The sequence below is a fragment of the Homo sapiens genome, chromosome 6 (genome assembly GCF_000001405.40).
Source record: "Homo sapiens chromosome 6, GRCh38.p14 Primary Assembly".
In the NCBI taxonomy this organism is placed as follows: Eukaryota; Metazoa; Chordata; class Mammalia; order Primates; family Hominidae; genus Homo; species Homo sapiens.
Window position 1 is genome coordinate 19,930,891 of NC_000006.12, and position 9,962 is coordinate 19,940,852.

The 9,962-nt window shown below is 46.5% G+C and overlaps 1 annotated feature.

Moving 5' to 3' along the window:
- Positions 9,083-9,711: an enhancer, noted in NCBI's record as "H3K27ac hESC enhancer chr6:19940204-19940832 (GRCh37/hg19 assembly coordinates)". NCBI's record gives its function as "activates a minimal SCP1, AML or CMV promoter by ChIP-STARR-seq in primed H9 embryonic stem cells {active_cell/tissue: H9 hESC(primed)}" and the evidence as "EXISTENCE:reporter gene assay evidence [ECO:0000049][PMID:30033119]".

Sequence of the window (9,962 nt, forward strand, 5' to 3'; positions counted from 1 at the left end):
ATAATTATGAGTATTAGCATTATTATTAACATAACAACTTAGTTACCAGCTTCATTATCACTTGCTCTCTTGACTTCTTGCTAAGAAAGACATTCTCAATAGTTTTTTGCTTCCCCACTTACAGGTCTTCGTAAGAAGGATTTTTAGCATACCAGTACATGGGTCAAGAAACCATCCAAGAAGTCACATTGTTACAATTTCATGTGTTTTATTCTAATTAAATCCCCAAATCAACCACGTTATGGTAAACATAACATAGTAGTTTTAAAACTGGTTTTAGTCACAGTTCCCGTTAACTATGTGATAAAATCTATGAGACTGCTTCTGGAAAACCGCATACATACATTGCATACATACATTTGCAATCAATTTAAAGATTAAGTTGATTAAACATTAAAGATTAAAACCCTAAATCTAGGAAATATTTATGTAATCACCCACTACTGCCCAGGCACTGTTCTAGGCACTTGAGAACAGCAGTAAATAAGACAGAGCAAGATCTCTGCCCTGGTGGATCTTGCATGGGTATCAGGAAGCAGACAATTAAAAAATAATAAATAAGGTCTATTATGTTAGAAAAGGATAAGTTTTATGCAATAAAGAAAAAGTAGAGCTAAAAGTAAGCTAAAAGGAATAGGAAACACTGTGCAGACACTCTGCTCAAAGGATGAAACAGTGTAGTCCAGGTAGACCTTATTGAGAAAGTAAATTTTGAAGAAACAATTTGAAGGAAGTCAGCCAAGTCTATACCTGGTGGAAAAGTATTTCAGGCAGAGGAAGGAGCCAGGATGCAACCCCTAAATTGGGCCAGTAAGCAAGGGGAGAAGCAGTAGGAGGTGATGTCATTATTGCAATGATGGTAGTTTTACCCAGGATGGTAGCAATAGGGGAACAAAATGATCAAATGGTCAGTCTGGAAACAGCTGGAGGCAGAGTCAATGGAGTTTGGAAGTAGAGCAAGGGAGAAAGCAGGGAGGGTTAAAGCTGACTCTTGGTTTTTGGCCTGAGCAACTGGAAAATGGAGTAAATTTGAGGAGTAAAGCTATTCAAGAACTCCTGTGCACTTTGCATTTTCCCTGCTGAACCCTTAGAGCTGAAAATATCATCTGACACATATCAGGGGCTCAGTAAACATTTATTGCATGAATAAATCTTCTCCTAACAATGGAGAGGATACCACACAGAATATGGGGTGTACTGTCACAGAATACCCCATATCACAGAAATCCCCAATCATTCTTCCAATATTATCTCCTTCATCTTTCTAGGATTTAAATTAAGGGTGAATATGTAGAGTTTCAGCTGCAGGGTTACCTCACTTCGACTCCATCCCTGCCAAGCCAGCTGTTTTTTTTTTGTGTGTGTTTTTTTAATGGGGATATAACAGGGAATCTCAGAAATACACAACAAACTAGCAATAAGAATGACAAGGGGGTTATAATTTATCATCCAAAGAAATTATATCAAAGCTCCAAATAGCTTTAATTGATAATATTATCAACATCAGTCAGTACCCCTTTCTTCTTCTTCTTGAAGGTGGTCACTTCAGTCCAAGACAGTATTTCAAAGAATCAGTGAAAAAAGAGTCCCAGCCCAGAGACACATGGAGTAGCAAAGAAAACTGGCAAGGTGAGGGCTGTCTATGCTGCTATTGCAGTACCAAAGAGTTCAGAAGTCGCCAAAACATGCATGTATCTGTTTTTACAAAGTACTGCCCAGTAGAATATGTTTACGTCAAACGTATGAGAAACCGCAACATCAAAGACAATTCCCATTGAAGCTGAAAGCATCAGGCAGAGTTGAACAATGGAGAAAGTTGAACAAAGCTTTGTTGTAGTCAGTCATTCCCACAGATTGCTTCACAATTCACTTGCTAGTTGTGACCTCGAAGTTGAATTAACCTCAAATTGTTGATCTGCCACCCTAATATAGAGAGGTAAGAGGCACTCTGTGGTACTGATAGAAATATTTTATTCAAGCAAAGAGCTTTGGATTCCATATATGCTCATTCAATTCACTCAACAACACACCTGAGCAGTGGTTTAAGACTTTCGTCCCATTAGTAAACTCTTAAGTCTTCTTGCTAACTCCCACCCATGTTCACTGAGTTTGAAATTGACAAAAAGGAGTAGGTTTAGATGCTAAAATGTTAGAACATTAAAATATCAACTAATGCAGTTCCCTCACTGAAAAGTGAGAAAGTTGAGATCCAAGGATGTAGACCTGCTTATGCTACATTTGTTTAAACCACAGTCAGGCAAAAGCACAGCTAGATCCCATGTTTACAGACAGGACTCCCAGGTAAGCTTTTTCCTGCTATACATGTGTCTCAAACTCTTCCTACCGGCAAGCCCTCATTCATCTAAACAGGCAGGCTGAGAAACTCCAACTTTGTTGATTTCTAATTGAACCACACCTACGGTAGCAATGGCTTCAAAGGTTGGACATCATGCTGAATACCTGCTAAAGAAAAGTGCTTTCTCCTTTTGATATTTCTACAGTTGCTAGAAGCTTGGGGCTATAAACCTGGTTCTGCTGTTGACTGGCTGGGTAATCCTGGACAAGTTAGGAAACTGTGCCTCATTTTCCTCTTGTACAAGATAAAAGCACTGCAATCCACTGACCCTAAGGGAGCCTTGCAGGTTTAAGATTACATGAGTCGATGAATAATCTCCCTCTTTAACAGTAGTGTCTTTAATTATTTGAAGATTTATAGTAATTTAGCACCTTCCTTCCCTCCATGAAAATAACTTCACATTAGGGAAATGGATCAGTAAATTTTGATAAATGGATATAATAAAATAAGCAACAATCTTAAATTATATATGCAAAAAGTTAGTAATAATGCAGGAGATACTTTTTTGTTATGCTGATAACTGAGGAAATCAAAACACGATTGTATATATATTATCCCAAGTATATGTGTTTTCTACCTTGCACAACATTTAAAATAGTGGTTGGCTCTGACAGGTGAAATCAAGGGTGGATACTTGGTTTTCTACTTTTTTCTTTGAGTTTGTCTCTATTTTCCATGAAACAAAAAGCCACTTTATTTTTAGGGAAAATAAATAAGCTTTGTTTTTTAAAAAGATTTATGACCCTGGCATTTTGCAAGTACCTGAAAATTTATGCATTTAGCAAACATAGACTCTGCTCAGAATATAAATGAGCCCTGATAGGTAGAATGTATCTCATGCCTCTTCTAAATTTTAGTAGTTACCTAACAAATGTTTTTGCCCTTGACTGTAATGCTAGAAAAATCAAATCACAAGACTGTAAGGCTAGAGTTGAGAAGTGAAGTCTTCTACAAGAGCCAGGAAAGATGCTTTTCAGCAACCAGTTTGAATTCTTACATAGTATAAGCCACATGGTAGAAAATAAATAAAAGCAGATTAATTGATTGACTTATGGCCAAAAAGTATCTGGCTTCAGCTTTCTCCTTATGCCATTTGTGAAACCTGCAGCTCAGGGGCCCCTATCCAGGCCGAGTGGTACTTTCTAGCCTATGGCTCCTAACTGAGGATATACACTTGAAAAACAAGAGTCAGAATACCTAGACCAGAGATGGCAAATATACAGCTCACGAGCCACTGCTCTCTGCTTCCATGTCCTTGGCAAGCATTACTGATGGATAAGGCTTCCATCCTTTATTCTCGAAAACAAACTCAGAGACTTGGAAACAACATTGGCCATTCCTACCAACCACTGGGAGCTGGCATGTGGTAAGAATCCAATTCACTACCTCTTACTTGGGTGAAGTATTTTTGTTGTTGTTGTTGTTGTTGTTGTTGAGACGGAGTCTCACTTTGTCACACAGGCTGGAGTGCTGTGGCGCAATCTCGGCTCACCGCAACCTCCACCTCCCGGGTTCAAGTGATTCTCCTGCCTCAGCCTCCTGAGCAGCTGGGACTATAGGCATGTGTCACCATGCCCAGCTAATTTTTGTATTTTTAGTAGAGACAGGGTTTCACCATGTTGGTCAGGCTGGTCTTGAACTCCTGACCTCGTGACCCACCCGCCTTGGCCTCCCAAAGTGCTGGGATTACACGCGTGAGCCACTGTGCTCGGCCAGGATGAAGTCTTAAAATAGTTATGCAGCAATGTCTTCAGAGGAACAAATGAAAGATATTTGATAAATGAATGGATGGATGTGAGTCTTGTAATAAAAATGCTTTGACAACTCTAAAGTGCAAGGCATCAAAATCTTGACTGTGGATGAAAGGAGGATTCACTTCAAGCTGGCTTATTCACAGACTTGGCAACTTACTGCTGGTTGCTGGCAGGAGGTCTCAATCCCTTGCCAGATGGATTTCTTCATAGGGCTACATATCTGTTGTCACAACACGGCAGCCGACTTCCTCCTGAGCATGTGATCCAGGAGAACACAAGGTAGAAGTCACAATGCTTTGTATGGCCTAACCTCGGAAGTTGCACCCTATCCTTTCCTCACTATCCTGTTGTTTATACAGGCCAGGTCTATACAATATGGAAGAGTACTACACACGAGTATGAATACAGGAGGCAGGAAACACTGGGAGCCATCTTGGAGGCTGGCTACCACGTAAGTCCCTGTAATGGAGTTAAAGAAGTTTGAGATTCAATCCTTGCTCTCAAGGAACTCACAGTGTAGTTGAAGGAAGCCCATATATGCAAACAACAACAACAATAAAAACCAACAATCTGCTTAAAGAAAAAATAAAAACTATGACAGACTGCTAGAAACCCCCAGTATCTAAGTTCTCTGCCTCTTCTTGGGAATACTACTACATTTCATTTCCCATCTCCGTTGGGTTTTGGTCTGGCCGTATAACTGGTTTTGGGCAATGGAATATAAGTGGAGATGATACGTGTCACCTCCAAGCTGAGGTAGTAAAGAGCGGCATTGCCACCTCCACACTCTTTCTCCTTTATTTGATGGTTATGGCATGTAGAGGGTGGAGTCACTGTGTTCCTGAATGACTGTTTAGAGCAGGCTATGGCCCACACCTTCCCTGGACCCATGCTGGGCTTCAATATGTTTTCACAAAACTCACATGTGAAATTTTATTGCTATTTGTTTCAGCCCCTGGTATTATTTACCCTAGCAAACAAACAAAGTCATCCAAGGCAACAACCAATCTGTGCAAAATAAATGACTGTAAGCCTCCTCCAGATGAATCCATGTTTTACGAGACTTCTTCTCACACATGCATGGGGCTCAGCTCAGTGCAATGGCCCAGTAGACATTCCATAATTATTTAGACAGAGAGTATAATAGAAAAAGTAGGCAGCAACACTTCAGAAAACAGCCTGAGTGGATTCTTCACATTGCTTTGCAATCTCTTTCTCCCAAACCCCTTCCCTCAATAACAGTAGCCAGCAGGAATGCAGTAAATCTCCTATATGGTTTTCCTGCCATTAGCTAGTCTCTTTCCCCACACTCCATGTTGTACAGTGCCATGAGAGGAATCTTCCTTAAGGTCAACTCTGATTGTACCATTCCTCTGCTCAACAATCTCCAGTGACTCCCCACTGCTTTCTAAATTAAGTTATGTGCCTTATATTCACTTTCAAGGCTGGAAACTACCTTATATTTTGCTCCTTTCATTCATTCATTAAGCAAATTTCTATGGACCTACATTGCACCAGACACCACGTTAAATGCTAATTAGGTATGGCTCTTGCCCTTAAAAAGCTCAGGGTCAGGCATGGTGGCTCATCATGCCTATAATCCCAGCACTTTGGGAGGCTTAGGTGGGAAGATCACATAAGACCAGCCTGGGCAACCTAGCAAGACCCCATCTCTACAAAAAATAAAAATAAAGAAATTAAAAGGAAAAAATCTCAGTCTAGTGAGGGAATGATAGCACAATGTGAAAGTAAAAGAGGTAACTCAAAAGTGATTAAGCAGTAGAAGTATAGAGGAAGTGATAGCTATTTGGTGTAAGATTTCACTTAATAAAAATGGAATGCTTGCTATGCCCCACATCCACTTCATACTTTATTCCACTAAAAAGCCATTCTCCCACTCTAGAATACCATCTTTGCACCAGATTTACAGAAGAGTTACAAAGAGTGTACAGAGATCCCTCATGTACCCTCACCCCACTCACCCTAATGTTAACATCTTGCATAACCATGGCAATTTGTCAAAACAAAAAATTTAACATTGGTACACTATTAAACTATAGACTTTATTTGGGTTTCACCAGTTTTTCCACTAATGTCCTTTCCTTTTTCCAGGTTTCCACATTGAATTTGGTTAGCATGTTTTCTTGGTCTCCTTAATCTGTGATGGTCTTTTATTGTTTTTTATAACCTTGACAATTTTGAAGAGTACTGGTCAGGAATTTTGTAGAATGTCTCCCAATTTGAGTCTTTCTGATGTTTTCTCATGATCAGACTGGGTTTTGGGAATGGATAATACAGAAGTGAAGTGCCCTTCTTATCACATTATATCAGAGGGTATGTGATGTCAACATGACTTGTCCTTGATGAAGCTAATCTTGATCACTTGGATAAGGTGGTATTTGTGAGGTTTCTCCACTGTAAAATTTCTGTTTTTCCCTTTCCATGCTCTATTCTTTGGAATCAAGTCACTAAGTCTAGATGACACTGAAAAGGAAGGGGATTAAGCCTGTGACCCAGGAGAGGGGAGTATCCACATATATCATTTGGAATTCTTCTGCAGAAAGATTTATTTGTCCATTCTCTCTCCTTCCTTCCTCCCTCCCTCCCTCCCTCCCTTCCTTCCTTTGTTTTCTTTCTTCAATTATTTATTTGTATTACTGTGGACCTATAGATATTTTCTTCTTTCCTTGAGTTGTGTGATGCTCTGCCATTTTTAACGTGACGTTCATAGATACATGCTTAAGGTTATATACTACATTAAGTGCAGTCTTATCATCTTTCTTGACAGTAAACTTCCAGGAAAAGCAATGTGCCCTATTTCACTTATCATCAAAGTTAGGTCAAATGTCACCTTCCAGATGCCTACATTGGCCAGTCCTCTAAAGTAGCGCCCACCCCCCACTGCTGCCAGTCACTCTCAGATTATTCTGTTACATTTTTATTTTCTTTATAACACTTGCTGCTTGGTAGTAATTTTATAGACTTATTTATATACTTAATATTTGTCTTTTCCCACTAGAATAGCAGCTTCCTGAGATCAGGAGCATTGTTTTTCTTGTTCATTTCTGTATTCTCAGTGTCACAAACAGGGTCGGGCACATTGCCAGTACACGGTAAATGTTTACTGAGTAACTCAATAAATCTTCATATTTCTCACTATGCCCAGTGACTGGCCTTAGAGAGATCAATAACTACAAATGAGTGGAATCTGGAACTCTCCCAGTACCTGTTAAATTATGGTTAAATACATTTTTATTTATAAAATTCTAATGCATAAAAATAATTTTCACAACAACACTGACATTAAAAATAAAAATAACAAACATCTGAATATGTCTTTGCTGTCAGGCAGCAGATTCTACTTCCTGATTGTGTTGTATTCCTGTTAACACTGGAAATTCAAGTCATTGTTCTCTGAGCCCACACCAGCTGGCTGCGCAATGGAGAACAAGAGTAGAAACAGAGAGAATTGTCCCAGGTGCTGAGGGTCTCTGGCTCATGCCTAATCCACAAAGTAGGCCACTGAGATGTGCCTGGGTGGTCAGATAATAAAGAGACTGGCATAGGATGAAGAAAGAAAGAAGAAAGAAAGGAAAGGGGAGAGAAAGAAAAAGACAGAAATACATATACAAGCTCCCTCTCCCTCTCCCTCTCCCTCCCCTCCCCCTCCCCCTCTCCCTCTCCCTCTCCCCACGGTCTCCCTCTCCCCACGGTCTCCCTCTCTTTCCACGGTCTCCCTCTGATGCCGAGCCGAAGCTGGACTGTACTGCCGCCATCTCGGCTCACTGCAATCTCCCTGCCTGATTCTCCTGCCTCAGCCTGCCTAGTGCCTGCGATTGCAGGCGCGCACCACCACGCCTGACTGGTTTTCGTATTTTTTTGGTGGAGACGGGGTTTCGCTGTGTTGGCCGGGCTGGTCTCCAGCTCCTAACCGCGAGTGATCCGCCAGCCTCGGCCTCCCGAGGTGCCGGGATTGCAGATGGAGTCTCGGTCACTCAGTGCTCAATGGTGCCCAGGCTGGAGTGCAGTGGCGTGATCTCGGCTCGCTACAACCTCTACCTCCCAGCCGCCTGCCTTGGCCTCCCAAAGTGCCGAGATTGCAGCCTCTGCCCGGCCGCCACCCCGTCTGGGAAGTGAGGAGCGTCTCTGCCTGGCCGCCCGTCGTCTGGGATGTGAGGAGCCCCTCTGCCTGGCTGCCCAGTCTGGAAATTGAGGAGCGTCTCTGCCCGGCCGCCACCCCATCTAGGAAGTGAGGAGCGCCTCTTCTCGGCCGCCATCCCATCTAGGAAGTGAGGAGCGTCTCTGCCTGGCCGCCCATCGTCTGAGATGTGGGGACCGCCTCTGCCCCGCCGCCCCATCTGGGATGTGAGGAGCGCCTCTGCCCGGCCGCGACCCCATCTGGGAGGTGAGGAGCGTCTCTGCCCGGCCGCCCCATCTGAGAAGTGAGGAGACACTCTGCCTGGCAACCGCCCCGTCTGAGAAGTGAAGAGCTCCTCCGCCCGGCAGCCACCCCGTCTGGGAAGTGAGGAGCGTCTCCGCCCGGCAGCCACCCCGTCTGGGAGGGAGGTGGGGGTCAGCCCCTGCCATGCCAGCCGCCCTGTCCAGGAGGGAGGTGGGGGGGTCAGCCCCCCGCCCGGCCAGCCGCCCCGTCCGGGAGGTGAGGGGTGCCTCTGCCCGGCCGCCCCTACTAGGAAGTGAGGAGCCCCTCTGCCGGGCCAGCCACCCCGTCCGGGAGGGAGGTGGGGGGGTCAGCCCCCCCGCCCGGCCAGCCGCCCCGTCCGGGAGGGAGGTGGGGGGGTCAGCCCCCCCGCCCGGCCAGCCGCCCCGTCTGGGAGGGAGGTGGGGGGATCAGCCCCCCGCCCGGCCAGCCGCCCCGTCCGGGAGGTGAGGGGCGTCTCTGCCCGGCCGCCCCTACTGGGAAGTGAGGAGCCCCTCTGCCCGGCCAGCCACCCCGCCTGGGAGGGAGGTGGGGGGTCAGCCCCCCGCCCGGCCAGCCGCCCCGTCCGGGAGGTGAGGGGCGCCTCTGCCCGGCCGCCCCTACTGGGAAGTGAGGAGCCCCTCTGCCCGGCCAGCCGCCCCGTCTGAGAAGTGAGGAGCCCCTCCGCCCACCAGCCACCCCGTCTGGGAAGTGAGGAGCCCCTCTGCCCGGCAGCCGCCCCGTCTGAGAAGTGAGGAGCCCCTCCGCCCAGCAGCCACCCCGTCTGGGAAGTGAGGAGCGTCTCCGCCCGGCAGCCACCCCGTCCGGGAGGGAGGTGGGGTCAGCCCCTGCCATGCCAGCCGCCCCATCTGGGAGGGAGGTGGGGGGGTCAGCCCCCCGCCCGGCCAGCCGCCCCGTCCGGGAGGTGAGGGGCGCCTCTGCCCGGCCGCCCCTACTGGGAAGTGAGGAGCCCCTCTGCCTGGCCAGCCGCCCCGTCCGGGAGGGAGGTGGGGGGGTCAGCCCCCCCGCCCGGCCAGCCGCCCCGTCCGGGAGGGAGTTGGGGGGGTCAGCCCCCCCGCCCGGCCAGCCGCCCCGTCCGGGAGGGGGGTGGGGGGGTCAGCCCCCCCACCCGGCCAGCCGCCCCGTCCGGGAGGTGAGGGGCGCCTCTGCCGGGCCGCCCCTGCTGGGAAGTGAGGAGCCCCTCTGCCCGGCCACCACCCCGTCTGGGAGGTGTGCCCAGCGGCTCATTGAGAACGGGCCATGATGACAGTGGCAGTTTTGTGGAATAGAAAGGGGGGAAAGGTGGGGAAAAGATTGAGAAATCGGATGGTTGCCATGTCTGTGTAGAAAGAAGTAGACATGGGAGACTTTTCATTTTGTTCTGTACTAAGAAAAATTCTTCTGCCTTGGGATCCTGTTGATCGGTGACCTTACC